Genomic DNA, 25,119 nt, shown 5'->3' with positions numbered 1-25,119 from the left:
GTGCAGCACACCAACATGGCACATGTATACATATGTAACAAACCTGCACGTTGTGCACATGTACCCTAAAACTTAAAGTATAATAATAATAAAATTTTTTAAAAAAAGATCATTTGAGGTTTTCCTGGTCTAATTTATTTTAGTTTTGTTTGGAAAATTACTTTGGCTCCAAAAAAAAGTGATCCATAAGTTAAGTAATTGATTATTTTTAAGATTAATTGAGGATTGCCTAAGCAACTATAATTTTATTACAAATGTATTTTCCTTAAACTACAAAAAAAATCACCGACTTTCTTGAAGCTGGGGGAGCATTATTTATGTAGATTGAAACAAATGCTGAATGTGCTCCCTTTTAAAATGAGAAAATAACCTTCAGCTCCTCTAAAATGTAGAGTTTGGCATTTTACTAAATTTCATAGGGAGAAAATGTAATGAGTCAATAAACCCAATTTGGAGGCTGGTTATTGTCACATAAATTAATTTGCCTGCTAAATGATCATATTCACATCCACCTTTTTCCCCACCATCTGCCTCACAACAAAGTTGGCATTGTACTCCTTTGAGGACGGACTGTAAAAATGTCATTATTTAAAGGCTTATTATCCACCAAGTCATGTTAAATTCCAATTTCCTTGTGCTTGCAGGCTGACCAGGTAAACAACATAGTTTGGAATTTTCAAAAGAATTACATGTACCGGTGGTGTACCTTGAGGTATCTCTGCATTGGGCCTTTGTCCAAAGGCGAGGTGACTCCCATGACCTTGGACTCCTGCTGGCAGGCCACTCCCACTCAGTGCGACGCAGACACGTTTCCATGGCTCAGCTCTGACTTGCCTCTCCAAACACTTGTGATCTGTGAAATCTCTCCTGACTGTCACACTGAGTGATCCTATCCCATTTCTCTGCACAATCAGGCACCTGGCAGGCTTTGCCAAACAGAATGCTGGTTAGAGAGGGGTAAGCGGCTGCCAAATCCCCTCTCCAGCCAAGTCCTAAATGTGACCCCAATGGAATCCAAAGACCAAGATCATCCTGACCATGATCTTACCACAAGCCCTGTTTGACAGGGGAAGGGGAAATGTGTTCAACAGAAAAAACATGATAGCTATAAGAGAATAGCTTAATAGTTAAAGATTTTTAAAAGTCAGAAACTAAATTCAGAGTCACAATTAACAACCTTTAAAAAAAAATGCTATTGACAGGTAGTTTTGTGTGTGTTTTGTTTTTCCTTTTTCGTTTGTTCTCCCCCAGCAGTCTAGATGGCTTTATACACACTGATTCATTCTGCATTGGGTAACTCCTGCCATTTAGCCTCACTATATTAACATGCTATAAGCTTGTTAGATAACTCAGTTTGTTGGAAATATGTGAAGTGTAAATAATGACAATTACTCAAGAAATTATTGATAATTATATAACTTTTTTAAAAGTTACTAGGAATATAGTCCGGCCTCAGATTTTTATAAATATGTATTAATCCAACTGTAAGTTCTGAGGACTTACTCTATGTTAAATATGCAAAGACAAATACAATCTAAAGGGAGAAGTCTGTGCTCATTGAGGCTCCTTGTCTAGACTCTGGAAGGAAAATCAGACAAGTAAAAAATAATCGACTACAGTGTATGAAATAAGCAAGTGTCATATTAGGTCAATTAGAAGGGCAGACTGAGGTCATGGAAGGCTTCCCAGTGACAGGGCCAGGGGTCAGCACAGCCTAGCATGGATGTGACTGGGAAACATGCAAGAAATAGGGACAATTTCTATTCTCAAGGGTTTCAAATGTCATGAAAACGATTTTAGAATTTGTTTAGTTGGAAACCTTTGAAGAATTTTAAGCAGGAGTATCATCCCATTGGGTATGAGTTTTAGAAAATTCCTTTATTCCACCAGCATTGTAGCAAATGTGTTGAGGCGAGGGTGATATTTGAGGTGTGGCAACCAGACTGGAGGCTTTTATGGCTTAATCCAGGCAGGAGATTATGCAGGTGGGAACTGGGCAGTGACAGCGGGAATGAAAAGAAGGTGTGTGTTGAAGATGGGGGTAGGAGCCATCCATAGCAACTGGTGAAAACTACATGAATGGAGAGGGAAGGCAGATGTCACAGATGACTCTCAGATGACTGTAGAGGAAAATTCACCACAACAATAGAGTGAATTTCCATTTCCAATTCAAGTTGTGAAAATTAAAAGCAACGAGAGATATTAATGACCAATTTACTTAAAGGACAGACAGTTAACTTTGCAGATGAGAAGTAATGAGATCATGCTAAACCAACAGCATGGAGGTGAAGCAGAAGGAAAATGACAGAAATGAATCACCAAGTATTGTCTATTGCTCAACCATCTAGAGAAGGATTTGGGGAAAGTAGAACAAAAAGTGTCCAGAGAGAGAGGGAGATGTAGAGCAAGTGGGTTTGTGTTTTAATTTCTCGATTTGGGTTGGAAAGTAATGAAAAGGCAAATAAAACATTGGAACATGCTAAGTATGTCTCTCATGGATGGCAGTGGGAGGGATCTTAAGGTTATTAGGAAAAGAAGATTTTGACAAAAGCACAGAGGTCCAGGGCTACCCACCTGCATGTGAACCACCCAAGCACAGAGAGAGAAGCATTGGGTCTTAGAGGAAGGAAACCCCGAAAGCAGGCGAGGGTGCCAGCCCCCATCTGGAGCCCCAAGTTGTTTTTTCAGAGCTTGCCATGTGCAGTCCCTGAGTCAGTGAAGGGGTCCTGCCTCTGTAAAATATCTGTCACTCTTTGAGTTTCCTCTCCAAGATACTGAAACATCTGGTTCCTCTGAATGTTGGGACTCTAAAGAGGAAATGAGAACATTTTAAACAACGGAAGAATACCAAGGCAAGTTCCAAATGTTGAGAGTTCTAGGCTGACACAAAATTTGTCGGGTTAATTTAAGTTGTAAAAGCTAAATATTGTGGGCTGATTTCTGTCCTTTCAAAATGCATATGTTGAGGTCCTAACCTCCAGTACCTTGTAAGGGACTGTATTTCCAGATAGGGCCTTTAAAGAGGTGATTAAGTTAAAATGAGGTTATTAGGGTGGGCCCTAATCCAGTATGGCGGGTGTCCTTTTAAGAAGAGATTAGGGGGCCGGGCGAGGTGGCTCACGCCTGTAATCCCAGCACTTTGGGAGGCCGAGGCGGGCGGATCACGAGGTCAGGAGATCGAGACCATCCTGGCTAACACGGTGAAACCCCGTCTCTACTAAAAATACAAAAAATTAGCGGAGCATGGTGGCAGGCACATGTAGTCCCAGCTATTCGGAAGGCTGAGGCAGGAGAATGGCGTGAAACCGGGAAGCAGAGCTTGCAGTGAGCCGAGATATCGCCACTGCACTCCAGCCTGGGTAACAGAGAGAGACTCCATCTCAAAAAAAAAAAAAAAAAAAAAGAGATTAGGATACAGAGAGACACAGAGGGAAGCCCATTTGAAGACACAGGAAGATTACATCCTCTACAAGCCGAGGAGAGAGCCCTCAGGAGAACCAACCCTGCTGACACCTTGATCTCAGACTTCCAGCCTCTAGAACAGTGAGACAACAAATTTCTGTTGCTTAAGTCATCCAGTCTGTGCTACTTCGTTATGGTAGCCCTAGCAAACTAATTAACTAAACAAGTCATTCTCCAAGTATTTACCTTGAGATTTACTCATCTGAACTTGGTACGGTTATTCACTCCAAATTAGATAATTTCCACAAAGTCGTTTCAATTACAGTTATGTGTTGCTTAATGATAGCAATACCTTCTGAGAAACGCACTGTTAGGCAATTCCGACACTGCGAACATCATAAAGTACACTTACACAAACCCAGATGGTAGAGCCCACCCCACACCCAGGCTATATGGTACAGCCCATTGCTCCTAGGCGCAAACCTGTACAGCATGGACTGTACTGGATACTGCAGGCAATTGGAACACAACGGTATTTGTGTATCTAAACATATCTAAACCTAGAAAAAGTACAGTAAAAATATAGTATTAGACAGAATAGGACCATCATTACATATGCAGCCCACCATTGACTGAAATGTCGCTATGTGGCTCATGAATATAATACTGCATAGACTCAGCTTGAGGGATTCATTTCAAAAAAATTTAAACATCCGGGCCGGGCGCAGTGGCTCACGCCTGTAATCCCAGCACTTTGGGAGGCCGAGGCGGGAGGATCACGAGGTCAGGAGATCGAGACCATTCTGGCTAACACGGTGAAACCCAGTCTCTACTAAGAAACACAAAAAATTAGGCAGGCGTGGTGGCCGGCGCCTGTCCAACCAGATACTCGGGAGGCTGAGGCGGGAGGCTGAGGCAGGGCAGTGGCGTGAACCCGGGAGACGAAGCTTGCAGTGAGCCGAGATCACCCCACTGCACTCCAGCCTGGGCAAAAGAACGAGACTCAGTCTCAAAAAAAAAATAATAATAATTAAACATCCAATCATGCCTTCACTGTAGTAGGCTTCAAGAGGGTCCCTCGCAAATTTAATACAAAAGAAAGCCTGAAGTTCGTTCTACATTGTGTCTTTATGAAAATAATTTCAACCTTCCAAATATAGCTTGAGTATCTGGGGTACTATTAGAAATGAAAAAGTATTCTAGTAAGCAGAGGAACTACATTTACAAATTGTCATGTTTGTATTTTTTAAAATAACATCTATTGTAAAGGTACTTTGTGAATTAGTTACATGATTTCAGCCTACTTACCTGAACAAATGATTCCATTACTAACTCTAGCACCACATACCAATATTTAAAACTCTATCCTACACTTCATAAAAACATCATTTTTGGTCATTTGTATGTCATAAATGTTAGTGACAAGGGCAAAAATACATCTGAATTAATACCTATCTGGTCTTTATTTTATTTATATGTACTCTAAATTTTCAAGTTTAAAAAAGATTTTTAAAAATCAGCAAACTTTTCCAAAAATTAGCACTAAGTTCTACATTGGCTTCCTTTAAAAGTTTATTCTATTTTAAATGTATTGAAATAAAAGAATTTTTTTCCTCTAGAAAAGAGCTCTCAATGTCAAAACAACTTTTAGGAATGTTGACTCACTTTAAATTTTGGAACAAGTTTAATTATGACTACTTGAGTATAACATAGAAAATAAATTTTATTATTAAGAGCTTTTCTAGATCAAATCTTTTATGGCTCTGTAAGTTGCATGTCTGATTGTGATTTTTGAATTCCTGTAAGATGTATTGTTCTGCCCTTTTTCAGCTTTATTTTTATTTCAATTCATTTTGACTTATGAATTTTTATTCTCTCCTGCTTTTTCTATAGAGTGAAAAACTGCATATCTAACGTGTCCTTGAATATTACACTATTATTCAACAATAATAAAACACAAGTTTACTACAAACATGTTGGTGTGGAATCAGCTCAAGTCTATGAATGTCTGCATTTCCTTTTTCTTCCTGAAAATTGTGACGGATCTGAATGCTAGTCAAGGAAAAAAGCTTGCTATTGGAATAGGATTTGCATTCTTTCAATGAAGATGGAAGAAGTAAAAGCTAGTCAAATTTCAGGGATGTATTTATTGCTGACACACACTCATATACACACACCACACACAGTCACACACACACTACACACATATCACACACACGCCCTCACATATACCCCCCACACACAGAGGTCTTCAGTTTATCAGAAGCATGTTAGAAAGTTTGAAACAAACAGGTATTCATCTCAGGTCAGACGCCAGAAGATCTACAGTATATGCTCATTATTCAGATCTGTATAAACAAATCTGAATTGGTATTTAAATCGGATTCTGTTAACTCACTTTGATAATAGGATTAAATTGCAGAATACTATTTGCTCACCCAGAAGCAAGTACAATTCACCATTCACACTGTTCTAACTTGAAAAATATGTCATGTTTTCAGTACTCCATGGCTCTAAGTATTTCTTAAAGTCTGTGAAAATACCAGGTCTGCTATTCAACATAACAAGCATATTTTAACATATTGATTACATTGAAAAATCCGATGAAGAAGAACAACTTTGATTTTTAAGACTCCAGATATTATTCTGAAAAACTCAAAAAGTCATCACTGATAACCATCCCAATGCAGCATTTCTGTCTCTATCTTCTTATCACCACTTGTGATAAACATAAATATTTTTAATTAAGAAAACATTTTCTTAGCTTGCCCTCACAAAATTACTATGGACTCCTATATAGCAACCCCAGCAGATTTTTAAGGAAATAAACCAGCTGGGAAAGGCACTGTCCACTCTCTTGGCCTTGTCCAAGGAGACTTTTCAGATCAAATCCTGGTAGTTCAAAGGCTGTCATCTTTTACCTTAGGATGAACATATATGCAAAATCTCAAATACATTTTATAAATATGACAGTAGGCCCATGAAGATGAGGTGTCTCTCTCTCTCTCTCTTTTTTTTTTTTTTTTTTTTTTTGAGGTAAGGTCTTGCTCTGTTGCCCGGGCTGGAGTGCAGTGGTGCAATCCTAGATCACTGCAAAATTCTGGGCTCAAATGATCCTCCTGCCTCAGCCTCCCAAGTAGCTGGGACTACATGCACGTGCCCCCATGCTCTGCTATTTTTAATCATTTTTTCTTTTGTAGAGATGGGGTATCACTATGTTGCCCAGGCTGGTCTTGAACCCCTGGCTTCAAGTGATCCTCCCGCATTGGCCTACCATAGTGCTGGGATTACAGGTGTGAGCCACCATGCCTAGCTATTTCTATCTATAACTTCTCTATCTTCAGCCTTACAGTATCTGGTATGTAATGGATATTTAACGAACATTTGCTGAATGGACAAAAAGTCCCTAATACTAATATAATAACTCAATGACAAGAAAAGCTTCAGACAGAAGATGAACATTTCGTATTTATCTCATATTATGCTGAATTCTGCTTTGCAATGATGGGCAAAGCTCAATATATAGTGAACATATTGATTGACATTACCAGAGAGTACTCCTCATTACAGCTGGCAGTACACATTGCTCAGAAGGAGCAAAGAGATCCAGGCACAAAGATAAATGCAAACACATCAGCACAAAAGCCTGGGGATGGTGAAAGCATGCTTGAAGCATGACTTCATGGAGAAGGCACCAGCAGTGCCTGGCTTGTATGGCTGAAGACATGTTCCCAAGCACACCAGAGAATGCTGTGTGGAAGCATAACCCCCAGAACTGGACGTAGAAGAACTCTGGAAATGCACAATACAATTGGGTGCCAACGGGAGCCTGCAGATGGGCAGGGATATTTTGGAGTCAGAAAATCATACCTGTGCCTCCTGACAGCTGGGTCCCCTAAAGCAACTGGATCCTCTAAAAATTGAGCTCGCTTTCTTTCTTTCTGCGTATTGCACTTCTCATAGAACACTCTATTCCTTTCTCTAAAGATTGGCTGTAGGGTTGTTCTTATTGCTCCAGTTCCCTTTCTCTTTGTTGTTTCAGAGTAAAGAATCACATTCTTGTTATATGTTGGCTTTTATTCTACCAAAAGGCAACAAGAAATTTGGATAGTGGCGAGCATGGGACAAGTTTCAAAGGCTCAAGAAACCACCTGAAACTAACCGGCATGAGTCCCTCTGTGAGCTTGATGTTGTTCTAAGCACTAGCTGTGCATTACCATAGCAGAGAAGGACAATCATGATTCACCCTATTTTTAAAGTGAAGACACCAAATTTTACATAATAGTTAGTCCATTACCTGTGTTGTAACGTAGAAGAAAGCAGGCCTTATTTTCACAGCATTTTCTTTGACTTGCTTCTAAAACGTCTAGGGGTTTCTCTCCTATGAAACTATTTCTCCCTTGATTCCTGGAATTCATCAAGTCTACTCTCACAACCCCCTTTTGACATTCTCTGAATGTCTTATGCCCTCTCTGTCTGGAATAAAGGAAAGAGATGGCACTTACTGGGCATTGTACTAGTTGCTTCATATACATTATCTTATTTAGTTCTCACAGAAAACTTAGGAAGTATTTTCCCCAATGCTCTGAAGAAGAAAATGAGACTCAAAGAGATGAAATGATTTCCCGAGTCGTGGAGCTGGCACGTAGCCGTAGGGATTTGATCCCATGCACTTACATCCCTCTGTGCTGCCTGCCTTTCGGGCAAGTAGTGCATGATAAATGACGCTGCTCACAACAAAAGATTAGTGGAGGTGAAGAAGGCAAACAGCTTGTAGATTCAGAAAATGAAGTCAGTTGCACAGGGGCCAAAGTCTAGAAGTCTGGACTGAACAGGAAGAGAAAATAGGGCCCAGGTGTTTACACAGATGTCAGAGTCCCAGTTTCCGCTGGGCACAGAGCAGGAGACTTGCCAGATACGGGGGCTGAGCTAGGCGCATTTCACCTGTGTTGTGCCTGAAGTAAGTCGGCGGGAGCGCATGCCTCGCTTTGCTCTCATACCTGTCTTGCAGGTAATTTCAATGTGCCTCTTGCAGATGCAGCCTTCATCCTTTTTCCCTCAGCCCTGCACTGCCTCCAGGAGCTCCTGAGCCTGGGCAAGGCAACTGAGGGAGGAAGGAGAAGCTATGCTTTTATCCTGTGGCCCGCCCCAGCCTAGCCAGTGAGTCCCTCCACCTAGGCCCCAGCTCTGCTAATGCAGTGGCTGCAAACGACTTTCCTTTGCATTCTGGGCACAGCCCTGGTGGTTTCTTACACTCGGTCCACTCCTTGTATGTAGCCTTTTATTAAATCTTCCTAAAATGATCCTCATTAAAGAGTGGCTTCTTATCGCCACAGGTCCCCTGTCTGGTACACACATATAGTTACAAAACCAGTTCCAGGAATATTTTCATCATAGATTCTTAGGAAAGTATAGAAAATAATGGAAAATATAGAAATAGTATAGGGAAAGTATCAAAAAGAAATTATACTTTTCCTGAAAAGCATAATTTATCATACTTATTATCTAAAATTTATTTAAATACATCTATTAAAATTTTTATATTATGTATTTATTTAAAATTAATGTTTGAACCATTGCAGTGATACATTTCCATGCCATTAAAGTCTCATAGTCCGCCTCTGTCCTGCCCCTTCACCCCTCCTGGGCATCCTCCTCAGAGCCTGCCACATTCAATTCATTTAGCTGTTTCCTCAGCATTGACCTTCCTGTTTCCAGTTTTAGGTAGAAACTGTCTCAAATATGTTTGTTGATTTGTTTAGAGAGATTCTCCTGACACCAATGTGAAGGACAGGGATTTAGGTCCTGGTTGCCCCCACTTTTCTCCAGCCCTAAAACACAGTTCTGTAGAAAAGAGGGTGTGTTCCCTGACACCAAGCACGCAACAGAATAGAATAAGAGGCAGGTTCCAGAGAACAGGCCATGAGACACAGAAAAGAGGGAAGCGGGGCCCAGGTGGACAGCCGTGCAGCACAGCTTGGGAGCACCCAGTGCCAACGGGAGCCTGAGCATGAGGGATTCTAGGGAAGAAGGAAAATGGGACCTGATAAACTGCAGGAGATGTGGGCTCTGCAGAGGACCAGGTCCAAAGGCGTTCAGAGAGCACTGGTGGGAAATTAAAGAATTTATTCTATTGGGAGGAAAATAGAAGCAGATCACAGTTTCCTGATTAATACTGAGTGTAAACACTATTGACAATTTTTTTTTAACTCCAGAGCCAATCAGGGTATATAAACACATTTTCTTTTTTTGATTGTTTGTTTGTTTAATTATACTTTAAGTTTTAGGGTATGTGTGCACAACGTGCAGGTTTGTTACATACGTATACATGTGCTATGTTGGTGTGCTGTACCCATTAACTCGTCATTTAACATTAGGTATATCTCCTAATGCTATCCCTCCCCCCTCCCCCCACCCCACAACAGGCCCCAGTGTGTGATGTTCCCCTTCCTATGTCCACGTGTTCTCATTGTTCAATTCCCAAATATGAATGAGAACATGCGGTGTTTAGTTTTTTGTCCTTGCGATAGTTTGCTGAGAATGATGGTTTCCAATTTCATCCATGTCCTTACAAAGGACATGAACTCATCATTTTTTATGACTGCATAGTATTCCATGGTGTATATGTGCCACATTTTCTTAATCCAGTCTATCAGTGTTGGACATTTGGGTTGGTTCCAAGTCTTTGCTATTGTGAAGAGTGCCACAATAAACATATGTGTGCACGCGTCTTTATAGCAGAATGATTTATAATCCTTTGGGTATATACCCAGTAATGGGATGGCTGGGTCAAATGGTATTTCTAGCTCTAGATCCCTGAGGAATCGCCACACTGACTTCTACAATGGTTGAACTAGTTTACAGTCCCACCAACAGTGTAAAAGTGTTCCTATTTCTCCACATCCTCTCCAGCACCTGCTGTTTCCTGATTTTTTAATGATCGCCATTCTAACTGGTGTGAGATGGTATCTCACTGTGGTTTTGATTTGCGTTTCTCTGATGGCCAGTGATGATGAGCATTTTTTCATGTCTTTTGTCTGCATAAATGTCTTCTTGTGAGAAATGTCTGTTCATATCCTTTGCCCGCTTTTTGATGGGGTTGTTTGTTTTTTTCTTGTAAATTTGTTTGAGTTCATTGTAGATTGTGGATATTAGCCCTTTGTCAGATGAGTAGATTGCAAAAATTTTCTCCCATTCTGTAGGTTGCCTGTTCACTCTGATGGTAGTTTCTTTTGCTATGCAGAAGCTGTTAGTTTAATTAGATCCCATTTGTCAATTTTGGCTTTTGTTGCTATTGCTTTTTGTGTTTTAGACATGAAGTCCTTGCCCATGCCTATGTCCTGAATGGTATTGCCTAGGTTTTCTTCTAGGGTTTTTATGGTTTTAGGTCTAACGTTTAAGTCTTTAATCCATCTTGAATTAATTTTTGTATAAGGTGTAAGGAAGGGATCCAGTTTCAGCTTTCTACATATGGCTAGCCAGTTTTCCCAGCACCATTTATTAAATAGGGAATCCTTTCCCCATTTCTTGTTTTTGTCAGGTTTGTCAAAGATCAGATAGTTGTAGATATGTGGCATTATTTCTGAGGGCTCTGTTCTGTCCCATTGGTCTACATCTCTGTTTTGTTACCAGTACCATGCTGTTTTGGTTACTGTAGCCTTGTAGTATCATTTGAAGTCAGGTAGCGTGATGCCTCCAGCTTTGTTCTTTTGGCTTAGGATTGATTTGGCAACGTGGGCTATTTTTTGGTTCCATATGAACTTTAAAGTAGTTTTTTCCAATTCTGTGAAGAATTGGTAGCTTGATGGGGATGTCATTGAATCTATAAATTACCTTGGGCAGTATGGCCATTTTCACGATATTGATTCCTCCTACCCATGAGCATGGAATGTTCTTCCATTTGTTTGTATCCTCTTTTATTTCGTTGAGCAGTGGTTTGTAGTTCTCCTTGAAGAGGTCCTTCACATCCCTTGAAAGTTGGATTCCTAGGTATTTTATTCTCTTTGAAGCAATTGTGAATGGGGTTCACTCATGATTTGGCTCTCTGTTTGTCTCTTATTGGTGTATAGGAATGCTTGTGATTTTTGCACATTGATTTTGTATCCTGAGACTTTGCTGAAGTTGCTTAGCAGCTTAAGGAGATTTGGGGCTGAGACGATGGGTTTTCTAGATATACAATCATGTCATCTGCAAACAGGGACAGTTTGACTTCCTCTTTTCCTAATTGAATACCCTTTATTTCCTTCTCCTGCCTGATTTGCCCTGGCCAGAACTTCCAACACTATGTTGAATAAGACTGGTGGGAGAGGGCATCCCTGTCTTGTACCAGTTTTCAAAGGGAATGCTTCCAGTTTTTGCCCATTCAGTATGATATTGGCTGTGGGTTTGTCATAGATAGCTCTTATTATTTTGAGATATATCCCATCAATACCTAATTTATTGAGAGTTTTTAGCATGAAGGTTGTTGAATTTTGTTAAAGGCCTTTTCTGCATCTATTGAGATAATCATGTGGTTTTTGTCTTTGGTTCTGTTTATATGCTGGATTACGTTTATTGATTTGCGTATATTGAACCAGCCTTGCATCCCAGGGATGAAGCCCACTTAACCATGGTGGATAAGCTTTTTGATGTGCTGCTGGATTTGGTTTGCCAGTATTTTATTGAGGATTTTTGCATCGATGTTCATCAAGGATATTGGTCTAAAATAATCTTTTTTTTGCTGTGTCTCTGCCAGGCTTTGGTATCAGGATGATGCTGGCCTCATAAAATGAGTTAGGGAGGATTCCCACTTTTTCTATTGATTGGAATAGTTTCGGAAGGAGTGGTACCAGCTCTTCCTTTTACCTCGGGTAGAATTTGTCTGTGAATCCATCTGGTCCTGGACTTTTTTTGATTGATAAGCTATTAATTATTGCCTCAATTTCAGAGCCTGTTATTGGTCTATTGAGAGATTCAACTTCTTCCTGGTTTAGTCTTGGGAGGGTGTATGTGTCAAGGAATTTATCCATTTCTTCTAGATTTTCAATTTTATTTGCATAGAGTTCTTTATAGTATTCTCTGACGGTAGTTTATATTTCTGTGGGTTCGGTGGTGATATCCCCTTTATCATTTTTTATTGCATCTGTTTGATTCTTCTCTCTTTTCTTCTTTATGAGTCTTGCTAGCAGTCTATCAATTTTGTTGATCTTTTCAAAAAACCAGCTCCTGGATTCACTGATTTTTTGAAGGTTTTTTTGTGTCTCTATTTCCTTCAGCTCTGCTCTGATCTTAGTTATTTCTTGACTTCTGCTATCTTTTGAATGTGTTTTCTCTTGCTTCTCTAGTTCTTTTAATTGTGATGTTAGGGTGTCAATTTTAGATCTTTCGTGCTTTCTCTTGTGGACATTTAGTGCTACAAATTTCCCTCTACACACTGCTTTGAATGTGTCCCAGAGATTCTGGTATGTTGTGTCTTTGTTCTCATTGGTTTCAAAGAACATCTTTATTTCTGCCTTCATTTGGTTATGAACCCAGTAGTCATTCAGGAGCAGATTGTTCAGTTTCCATATAGTTGATTGGTTTTGAGTGAGTTTCTTAATCCTGATTTCTAGTTTGATTGCACTGTGGTCTGAGAGACAGTTTGTTATAATTTCTGTTCTTTTACATTTGCTGAGGAGTGCTTTACTTCCAACTATGTGGTCAATTTTGGAATAGGTGTGGTGTGGTGCTGAAAAGAATGTATATTCTGTTGACTTGGGGTGGAGAGTTCTGTAGATGTCTATTAGGTCCGCTTGGTGCAGAGCTGAGTTCAATTCCTGGATATCCTTGTTGATTTCTGTCTCGTTGATCTGTCTAATGTTGACAGAGGGCCTCTCCTCCTCCAAAGGAACGCAGCTCCTCACCAGCAATGGAACAAAGCTGGACAGGGAATGACTTTGACGAGTTGAGAGAAGAAGGCTTCAGACGATCAAACTACTCCAAGCTAAAGGAGGAAGTTTGAACCCATGGCAAAGAAGTTAAAAACCTTGGAAAAAGATTAGATGAATGGCTAACTAGAGTAACCAATGCAGAGAAGTCCTTAAAGGATCTGATGGAGCTGAAAACCACGGCACGAGAACTACATGGCGAATGCACAAGCCTCAATAGCCGATTTGATCAACTGGAAGAAAGGGTATCAGTGATGGAAGATCAAACGAGTGAAACGAAGCGAGAAGAGAAGTTTAGAGAATAAAGAATAAAAAGAAATGAACAAAGCCTCCAAGAAATACGGGACTATGTGAAGAGACCAAATCTACGTCTGATTGGTGTACCTGAAAGTGACGGGGAGAATGGAACCAAGTTGGAAAACACTCTGCAGGATATTATCCAGGAGAACTTCCCCAGTCTAGCAAGACAGGCCAACATTCAAATTCAGGAAATACAGAGAACGCCACAAAGATACTCCTTGAGAAGAGCAACTCCAAGACACATAATTGTCAGATTCACCAAAGTTGATATGAAGGAAAAAATGTTAAGGGCAGCCAGAGAGAAAGGTCGGGTTACCCACAAGGGAAGCCCATCAGACTAACAGGTGATCTCTCTGCAGAAACTCTGCAAGCCAGAAGAGAGTGGAGGCCAATATTCAACATTCTTAAAGAAAAGAATTTTCAACCCAGAATTTCATATCCAGCCAAACTGAGCTTCACAAGTGAAGGAGAAATAAAATCCTTTACAGACAAGCAAATGCTGAGAGATTTTGTCACCACCAGGCCTGCACTAAAAGAGCTCCTGAAGGAAGCACTAAACATGGAAAGGAACAACCAGTACCAGCCACTGCAAAAACATGCCAAATTGTAAAGACCATAGAGGCTAGGAACAGACTGCATCAACTAACGAGCAAAATAACCAGCTAACATCATAATGACAGGATCAAATTCACACATAACAATATTAACCTTAAATGTAAATGGGCTAAATGCTCCAGTTAAAAGGCACAGACTGGAAAATTGGATAAAGAGTCAAGACCCATCAGTGTGCTGTATTCAGGAGACCCATCTCACGTGCAAAGACACACATAAGCTCAAAATGAAGGGATGGAGAAAGATCTACCAAGGAAATAGAAAACAAAAAAAGGCAGGGGTTGCAATCCTAGTCTCTGATAAAACAGACTTTAAACCAACAAAGATCAAAAGAGACAAAGAAGGCCATTACATAATGGTAAAGAGATCAATTCAACAAGAAGAGCTAACTATCCTAAATATATATGCATCCATACATACAGGAGCACTCAGATTCATAAAGCAAGTCATTAAAGACCTACAAAGAGACTTAGACTCCCACGCAATAATAATGGGAGACTTTAACACATTTTCTTTTCTGTACAGTTTTATTCATTAAATCATTTATATTAGCTTGATTTTCTATGTCCCTATCATTAATTCTTCTTAAATTTCCCAGAAACTAGTGTCCTTCAGATTTTTTGTTATTCTTAAAAAAATTTTTTAAATTTATTTTTTCATATAGAGATGGGAGTCTCACTTTGTTGCCCAGACAAACTCCTGGACTCAAGGGATCCTCCCATCTCAGCCTCCCAAAGGGCTGGGATTACAGCTGTGAGCTACCGTGTCTCTCCATGTCCTTCAAATTTAAAAAAACAAACAAAAAAACCCTGCATTTTAAGAAATATTTTCTTCTTTTCCATTTTTTTCTCTTCTTTTAATGAAATTCTTAAAGAGACTTTAAAACTCACAGACTTTTAAAAAAATTATTATCTTTCCTCTCCTGTTTTTCTCTTTATACCTTTTTAATTGCTTCTGGAAGGCTTTCTCCACTCTATCTTCTGAATCTTCAACTGAGTTTTTCTTTCAGTTCTTATATATTTTTCAGAGTTCTTTGTTCTTCCCTTTTACTGCCCTTTTCTTACCTTTCTGATATGTTTTCTTGAATAAAATGTCATCTCTTATTTTTCCAGGGTCTTAAATGTAATTTTTATTGTTTTATTCTAACATATTTATCATTTTTCCCCATTGAGTTCCTTTTTTTTTTTCCTATTTTGGTTCATTCATTCTTTCTCCTTTTCTTCCTTCCTCTCCTTACCTCCTTTTTCTTTTTCTTTTTTTCTTTCTTTCTTAGTTTCTTTCTTCATTGGCTTTCCTCAAATGGCTACTGATTGTTGTCTATTATTTCATAATTAAGAATGAGACACTAGGCCAGGCACAATGGCTCATGCCTATAATCCTAGCCCTTCGGGGGGCTGAGGCAGATGGATCACTTGAAACAAGGAGTTAAAGACCAGCCTGGGCAACATGGGGAGACCCCATCACTACAAATAAATGCAAAAATTAGCCAGGCATAGTGACACATGCTTGTAGTCCCAACTACTCAGGAGGCTCAAGTGGGAGGATTGCTTGAGCCTGGAAGAGTTTGAGGCTATACCAAAATTGTGCCACTGCACTCCAGCCTGTGTGACAGAATAAGACCCTATCACAAAAAAAAAGAAAGAAAGAAAGAAAAAAGAAAACAAAAAACTTTTCTCATGGTTAAATTATTACTTTTCTTTTTCGTTTCATAGAATATTTTGCATTGAACTATTCTTCAAGATAGTGGAGGAAAAACATCCAGATAGGAAGCTGTGCTTAGTCAAAGTGTAGTACTCAATATTTTGGACATATAAGGACTCTGTTGAGCTGTCAGAAAGGAGAGCCAAAAGCTGGCAGTCTTAGTAAATAAAACGTTTGCATTTATATCTGTATTTGTTCATTCTTGAATTGCTATAAAGAAATACCTGAGACTGAGTAATTTATAAGAAAGGAAGTTTAACTGGTTCACAGTTCTTCAGGCCATACAGGAAGCATAGAGGCTTCTGCTCCTTGGAAAGCCTCAGTAAACTTCCAATGATGGTAGAAGGTAAAGGGGAAACATCTTACATGGCAAGAGCAGTAGTAAGCAAGAGAATGGGGAAGGGGAGATGCCACACACTTTAAACAACCAGATCTCAGGAGAACATACTCACTATTTCGAGAACAGTACCAAGTGGATGGTACTAAACCATTCATAAGAAATCCACCCCCATGATCCAGTCACCTCCTACCAGGTCCCACCTTCAACACTGGGGATTGCAATTTGACATGAGATTTGTGTGGAGACACAGATCCAAATCATATCATTCCACCCTGACCCCTCCCAAATCTCATGTCCTTCTCACATTGCCAAATACAATCATGTCTTCCTAATAATCCCCAAAGTCTGAATTCATTCCAGCATTAACTCAAATGCACAAAGTCCAAATCTCATCTCAGACAAGGCTAGTCCCTTCCACCTATGAGCCTACACAATCAAAAGCAAGTTAGTTACACACAAGATACAATGGAGGTACAAACATTGGGTAAATGCTCCCATTCCAAATGGGGAGAAATGCTCAAAACAAAGGGGCCACAGGTCCCATGCAAGTCTGAAACATGACCAAGCAGTCATTAAATCTTAAGACTCCAAAATCTCCTTTGACTTCATATATCACATCCAGAGATGAGCTCCCAAGGCCTTGGGCAGCTCTGCCCCCACAGCTGCTGTCACGTGCTGGTGTTGAGTGCCTGCAGCTTCTCCAAGGACATGGTGCAAGCTGTCAGTGGATCTACCATTGTGGGGTCTGGAGGACAGTGTCCCTCTTCTCACAGCTCCACTAGGCAGTGCCCCAGTGGGGATTATGTGTGGGGGCTCCAACCCCACATTTCCCTTCTACACTGCTCTAGCCGAGGTTCTCCATGAGAGGTCTGCCTCTGCAGCAGACTTCTGCCTGGACATCCAGGCTTTTCCATACATTCTCTGAAATCTAGGTGGAGGCTCCCAAACCTCAATTTTTGTCTTCTGTGCACCCACAGGCCCAACACCATGTGGAAGCTGCCATGGCTTGGGGCTTGCACCCTCTGAAGCAATGGCCCAAGCTGTACCTTGGCCTCTTTTAGCCAGTACTGGAGCTGAGTGGCTAGAACACAGGGCACCAAGTACCAAGGATGCACAGAGAAGTTGGGCCTTAGGCCTGGCCCACGAAACCATTTTTTCTTCCTAGGTCTCTGGGCCTGTGATGAGAGGGGCTGCTGCTAAGATCTCTGACATGCCCTAGAGAATTTTCTCCATTGTCTTGGCTAATAAGATTCGGCTCCTCATTACTTATGCAAATTTCAGCAGCTGGCTTGAATTTCTCCCCAGAAAATGAGTTTTTCTTTTCTACCATATGGTCAAGCTGCAAATTTTCCAAACTTTTATACTTTGTTTCCCTTTTAAACATAAGTTCCAATTTCAAACCATCTCTTTGTGAACACATTTAACTGTACACTTTCAGGAAAATCCAGGTCACTTCTTGAATGCTTTGCCGCTTAGAAATTTCTTCCACCACATACCCTAAATCATCTCTCTCAAGTTCAAAGTTCCATAGATCTCTAGGGAAGGGCAAAATGCCACCAGTCTTTTTGCTAAAGCATAGCAAAAGTGCCTTTGCTCCAGTTTCCAATAAGTTTCTCATCTCCATCTGAGACCACCTCAGTATGGACTTCATTGTCCATGTCACTATGAGCATTTTGGTCAAAACCATTCAATAAGTTCTAGGAAGTTCCAAACTTTCCCACATCTTCCTGTCTTCTTCTGAGCCCTCCAAACTGTTCCAGCCTCTGTCAGTTACCCAGTTCCAAAGTGGCTTCCACATTCTCAGGTATCTTATAGCAATGCCCTACTACCTTGGTACCAATTATCTGCATTAGTCCATTTTAACTTATAAAGAATACCTGAGACTGGGTAATTTAAAAAGAAAAGAGGCTTAGTTGACTCAGAGTTCCACATAGCTGGGAAGGCCTCAGGAAACTTACAATCATGGTGAAAGGCAAAGGGGAAGCAAGACATATCTTATATGGCAGCAGGAGAGAGAGAGAACAGGGGAAACTGACATTTTTAAATCATTAGATATTGTGAGAAATCCCTCACTATCATGAGAACAGCATGGGGGAGACTGCCCCTGTGATCCAGTCACTTCCCACCAGGTCCTTCCTGGATACATGGGGATTACAACTGGAGATGAGATTTGGGTGGAGACACAGAGCCAAACCACATCAGTGCTTGAAACACAGTCAGTACTTTATTCCATCATTTAAGAAAAGTGTGTCAGTTTCCTCCTGTGTGGCTGTCCTGTCCTGGGTTCTGGGGAATCACATCTACCTAAGGACAGAGGCCCTTCTCTCATGGGGCTCACAAGGGGATGGGGGTAGGGGAGGGGGAGGGCAAGCATGTCAGATGGGGCCTGTGAGAGGAATGGAGGAGGGAGGTCAAGGAAGGCCTCTCTCATGAGGTGCACCTCGTCCGAATTCAAAAGAAATAAGAACCAGCCAGGCATAGACCAGGAGAGAAGCAGATGAACTGCAAGCACCAAGGCCTTGAGGTGGGAATGTGCTTGGGATGCTCAGGAACCATGCAGACGCCGCAGTGGCAGAAATGGAGGCCTTGAACGGGAGGCTGGTGGAGAAGCCGTCCCGCAGCAGGCCAGCCCGGGGAGCTGGTAACCACAGTCAGCACTTTGGATTTTACTTCAAGTGAGCACAGGAAGCCTCTGGAAGGTTTTGGTGGACAGAAGAGTGTCATCTTTTTGGGGTCACTCAGGCTACAGATGAATATTAACCTAAAGGAAGGAGGGGACAAAATGGTTATTATAATTATTATTATACTATCACTATGACTGTACTATCATTAATGTTATAGTTATTATGACTAAAATGAAAAATTACATTTGGTGTAGAAATGAGTAGCTGGAATGGAAAGGCCTGAGCCAGTGCTTCTCTACCTAAGTGGACATCAGAATTCCCTGAAGGCCCTGCTCAAACACCTGCTCAAACATCTATTCAACCACTTGCTCAAGCACCTGCTCAGACACCTACTCAAATACTCAAACATGGATTCCTGGGCTCCGCTGTAGGGCTCTGCCTCAGCCTGTCTGGAGTGGAACCAGGAATGCAGGCCTCTAACAAGCTCCAAGAGGATAGCAGTGCTGCTTGTCCCTGTTCACACAGAGCAGCCTCGTCTAAATGACATTGATTCACACATTGTACTTTCTTAATATCAATCATAGAATGCCCTAGTGGAAAAAAAAAAGGCAAGAATGCCTGTTTGGCCAAAAGTAATCATAAGATGGTTGAAATGTGAGTAGTATAAGTAACTATTTGATTGGAGGCAAATAATAACTCCTGATGGATAAACATTGACTTACATTTTGTTAGTGTTTTGCACTTCAGAAAGAATTCATGATCTAATTGAATTCTTACAACTTAGGACAGATTAGATTTATTTGGCAGATAAGGAAAGGGTGTAGAATAGAAAACCAATCTCCTAAAGACACAAAGGTAATAAATGAGGAGCCTGGCCTTGGACCCCAATGCTCCTGTTGACATTAAGTGTGTTTTTCCACTATACATCGCTGCCCCTCAAGAAGGACGATGAGGACTGATGTTACTTTTTTTTTTTTTTTTTTGAGATGGAGTTTCACCCTGTCTCACAGGCTGCAGTGCAGTGGCATGATCTCAGCTCACTGCAATCTCTGCCTCCTGGGTTCAAGAGATTCTCCTGCCTCAGCCTCCCGAGTAGCTGGGATTACAGGCATGCACTACCACATCAGCTAATTTTTTATATTTTTGATAGAGACAGGGTTTTGACATGTTGGCCAAGCTGGTCTTGAATTCTTGACCTCAAGTGATCTGCCTGCCTCGGCCTCCCAAAGTGCTGGGATTGCAGGCGTAAGCCCCTGCAGCCAGCCTGATGTTACATTTTGACATAGAAAAAGGCCAACTGAAATTGTTGATTAGATACCATGATATTCTCCCTCAAAACTCTCTCAAAATATCTAAGTATACACTCTTTACTATGCATACTCATTAAACACAAAACAAAGCAATGGCCATCTGGAGATTGTTGCAAACCAAAGCAAAACAAGGAGCCATCACACCTGCTGGGCATTGTCAGCGTTCAGATATGTGGATTTCACACTTTTGGATAGAGTTGACTACTTCTTTGAAATACTCACTATGAACACAAAAATATCCTCATGGTAATTTTTTTGTAGGAACAGTTCGTGTTATAGGAAATGTTTGTTAAAAGAATAAATGTAAGCTAAATACCTTACGTTACAGAGTGCTTTGTGATTCGAAAAACACTTTCATTCCTTTTTTAAAAAATTTCCTGTCACAGCAAGCCTAGTAAAAAAAGAGTATCTAGTAGTTTTATGATCATCATTTTACAGATGAGAAAGCCGAGCTCTGGAGGGCTGGCAGCCCGCTCCCAGTCACTGGAGCCATCTGTTGTCAGACATTGATCATTCTACAGTAGATTGATTGGGTATAACTACTTGACATTGCATAACATAATGCTGGGATTAAAATATCTTTCCCTGTAAAATAAATTTTCCTGTATGTATTAGTTAGGATTCCCTGGTTATAAGTAACAGGAACCCACCCTTTGTAAGTGAAAAGGGATTTATTGTAAGGACCTCAAGTGGTTCCCAGAATTGAAGGGAAGCTGCAGAACTGGCCTTTGGGCAGACTGGAACGAAGGGCAGCTCTGGAGACCTGGGAAGCAGGAATGAGTAGACACCTTGACATCTGAGTGTGGTGTCCAAGATGGGTAGAGAGCATCTGGTTGGCCTAGATAGGTCACCATTGGTGGCAAGGGACAGGAAAGTACGCCTTGGTTTACAGTGCTGGCAAGACTGAGGCAGTGCAGGGGGTTAAATCCCTAATGCAAAATGAGGGTGCTATGACCAGAAGGAGGAACAAACACGGGGCTGGCAAAATGACATCTGTCCACTCTTCCTGCTTCACAGCCGTGGCTTACTCTTAGTGATGCTGAATGCAAAGTAGCTGAAGCTAATTTGTGCAATTTCCCCATGCACCTTACTCCTAACAAGAGGGAAAAATATGTGAATAAATGTAGAGTTGGGTAAAATCCCAAAGAACTTGAAATTTCCTAGCCAACAGAAATAACTGTTTTACAATTGTTGCTGTTTTCTTCTAGAGAATATAGCTATCAAAGCTGAATAGAACATTAGGAGCTCTGTAATTAATGGCCTGAATTAGGTTTGATTTTGTATTTAACCAAATTTCAAATGATTGAGGACCTGTGAGTTATAAATTCTGAGTTTAAAGGATAGAAGCCAGTTGTTTCATTCTGAAAATAATTTTCTACAAGTAAATCAAGGAAGTAGAATTTGGGTTTCTGGTTTGCCTACCTAATCAGAAGTCAAATTGAAAATACTTTATTATAAGATGACAAGATACAATTTTCTCTCCATGTTAACTATACCTCAAGTCCAGCTAGAGTTGATATTAATAGAGTATATCATATATATTTCAGTTGCATTCTCTGCCAATGCCTATAGTTAATCTCTGCTTACATATGCTATCATTCATTCAATAAATATTTGAGAGTTTACCTCATGCTAGACTCTATGCTAGGTACTGGATACAAAAATAGAAGGAAGAATAGAACCATAAAGATATCATAATCTGGACAGCATGTACGGATAACAAACAATACATCTATTGATTGCTTCATACATAATAGCACCCCAAGATAGACATTATTCTCTTTGCATAGAAAAGGTTGTATCTAAAGTCTTCAGAACTGCAGGTGGCAGTGCTGGAATTTAAATTCTGTGCTCCAAAGCTTGTGTTATTTTAATAAAAGACTTGGCTTTCTCAAAGGAGTTAGATTTGTACCAATTGCATATACTTTGAACAATGCTCTAAGAGTGGACACACAGCAATGGGGCCGCAGAAGAGTGCATGATTCTTTCTTCCTGGAGAGACAGTGACAATTGACTTAGGCCTTGAAGATTATGCCATGTTGTGCCAAGCAAAGAGGGGAAGAAAAGACATTGCATCTAGAAAAAACAATTTGCCAAAAAGAGCACAGAGACATAAAACACACAGTTTTCATGGAAGGACTAATTGCTACGTGGTAGGCTATATGCTGTAATGAGTACCTGAGGATGATGCTGAAAAGACAGGCCAGAGCAGGTTCATGAAGGTCATGAAAGACATCCAAATTAGTTTTGTATTCCTTGCATGCTAGCTTGGTTTTTAAGCAGAACATGGTCAGATTAGTGCTGTATAAGATATAAAGTATCACTGGCTATGTGGAAAATGGGTAGAAAGGGGAGATGCCAGAGTGAAGAGGAGCAGAGTGAGAATAGTACAAAGTCTTATTGAGATGGAAAGTCAAGAACAGATTGGAGATGCTGATTAGGTGGCGTACGTTTGATCAAAAGGGGCCTGAGGAAGGTGAGTGGGTGCTAAAGCCATCCATTCTTGGCCAGTCAGGAATATTGCCTAAGCAAGGAGCAAGTGCATATTCCAATGTTGCTTGCTCGATTTATTCTTGTACTCTCAAAATACTGACTGTGGCTGAATGTGGTCATTTGGCAGGAATTATAAACTGAAACTTTCATTTTCTCAATGTAAAAGATATAGATTATAAGCCTAGGGGCCAGAGAAAGAGAGGAGAGAGAGAGAGAGAGACAGAGAGAGAGAGAGAGGGAAATACATAGATATATATATATATATTAGAATTAGTTTTCTTTTAATTTGGAATATACATGAATACATTCTCAATATTGACAGTGAAAAATAATCAAGTACTAAATTCTATGTATTAGTAACACAATTATAATCAAAACAGTGGTTATCAAAAATAATGCACCTAATTTTACAACTCTGGTTTTTTTAATTCCAGTTTTACAACTTTGGCTTTTTAAATTCTAATTTTCTAAAAACTATGAGATATAATCTTACAGATGTAATTATATCTCATAGTTTTTAGAAAATATATACATTACAGAATGATATGTAGGTATCTAGGTACATATGTTTTTTCTTTTAGAACCATATCTAATTCAGAGAAAATATATTACAACCTAATATCTTACCCAAACTCTTAGGGTAGACATAACTAAGAAAGAGAATACGAAGGGAAGATGGAATTGTTTTCAACTGAGATCTTCCAGGACTGTTTGAGGGTAGAAAAAGAAGATTAAGAACAAAAGAAAGTAGATGCCAAGAATAAAAGGAAAGGGTGGCAAATATAAAAAACATGATTTGAAAAATATTTATTTAGGCATCCTCGCTTTCAGAACTATTTTCAAAGACATTTTTTTCACTTTGTAAAACACACTTTATAAAATTGTTCATAGTCTAGACATCCTAAATCCTAAGTAGCATTTCACAAGGAATGTGTCAATAGCAGAGGGAAAATAGACAACCTAAAATCACAAAGATGTGGTGAAAATATCATAGAAATATTTAAATAGCATCAACAGTGTTTAAATTAGATGGATATATCGCATCCATTTGACATCAAATAGAATCATTCCCTTCCCACTGCCTGTCAACAAAATCACAACATTAAGTCTGTTAATGTCTACGAAAATATCTAAGGCTATTTTTTTCTCATGGAAGTATGCTGACATCTGTGAAATCCAGGTGGTAGGTTCTTGTTACATTTTTCACTGTGTTTTTTGAACATTTTAAATATTTAATAATTAGATATTTAAATGATTGATAGTAAAAAGGAATATTTGTCGGTGCAGAATGATATGAAATTTTAAAGAAAGAAGTTATCTGAAGAGGATCTTCACATTGGTTTGTTCAAGCTTGGCATGACAGGCTCAGAGACGTTCTGTGATCAGGCAGCCTGGCACAAACCACATTTCTCTAAATGCTCATTTAATTCCAGAAAGGAGGACAAGCTTTATTACGCTTTGACACAACCTCTGAGATGTTTTTCTATGTGTTTGCTTGAGTGTGTATCACTGCATGTGCTGACCGATAAGCTTCAACTTTTATGAAAATAAAAGGATGACTAAGCAAAATACAAAGTTCTCCTTTACTTCTACAGTATAATATAATGTGCCTAGTATTTTCCTTCTTTTTTTACTGTTTAAACTAATGTAATTAAGTGCAGTGAAGATGTCAGAGAGACCCAAGTAAAATTTTTACAGATTTTTTTTAATATTCAAAACTTTGGTTGAATTTTTGATAAAAGATAAATAACAACTAATTTTATATTAGTTTATTAAATAAACTAATTAATGGTTTAATTATGAGGTATTATAGTGGAGTGTGCCACTGCACTCCGGCCTGGATAACAAAGCAAGACACTGCCTCAAAAAAAAAAAATCAAGGTTGTTATTTTTCAGGTCGTATTCTGCCATTTTCAGTAAGATATAATGCAAGACGCCTTGACAAAATCTGATCACCAGAAAGGAGTATTTGAAGCCACTTTATGAAAGATTAGTACATAACTTTAAGTCTTCCTAAATATATAAAAGTACCATATTGTAAAATAAATTCTCCACCTAGCATCTCAGGTGGTCCTGCTTAAACACAAGGCGAAAATGGTATTCTTCTGTTCAAATACTGACGTGGCTTCCTGGTTCCTCAGAATAGATGCCAAAGTTCTTGAAAAGATCAACATGCCGCTGACATCCTGGTGCTAGACTGGCTTTCACAGCTAAGCCTGGGTGTTCTATAGTGTTGAACACAAACTGTTTCACAGAACACAAAAATCAGACAAGGTCATTCTGTGGTCTTGACTGATTAAGACAACCATGATTGATCAAGACAACCATGATTGATCAAGACAATTTCCCTTTGTAAGAAATTCAGAGGTCGGGTGTGGTGGCTCACGCCTGTAATCCCAGGCACTCACTTTGGGAGGCAGAAGCGGGTGGAT

The 25,119-nt window shown here is 39.8% G+C and overlaps 1 long non-coding RNA gene across 1 annotated transcript in view; it reads right to left on the bottom strand.

Annotated features, from left to right (window-relative positions):
• Positions 1 to 18,462: 18,462 nt before the first annotated feature.
• Positions 18,463 to 25,119, bottom strand: part of LOC124901944 (uncharacterized) — a 49,354-nt gene continuing 42,697 nt past the window's right edge. The window contains exon 2 of the long non-coding RNA XR_007060910.1: positions 18,463 to 19,021. This is a non-coding gene — a long non-coding RNA (uncharacterized LOC124901944). The remainder of the gene's footprint in view (positions 19,022 to 25,119) is intronic.

The sequence above is a fragment of the Homo sapiens genome, chromosome 8 (assembly GCF_000001405.40).
Source record: "Homo sapiens chromosome 8, GRCh38.p14 Primary Assembly".
NCBI classification, from domain to species: domain Eukaryota; kingdom Metazoa; phylum Chordata; class Mammalia; order Primates; family Hominidae; genus Homo; species Homo sapiens.
Note: the sequence above shows the minus strand (reverse complement) of the source record. Positions and strands in the feature narration are given on the sequence as shown.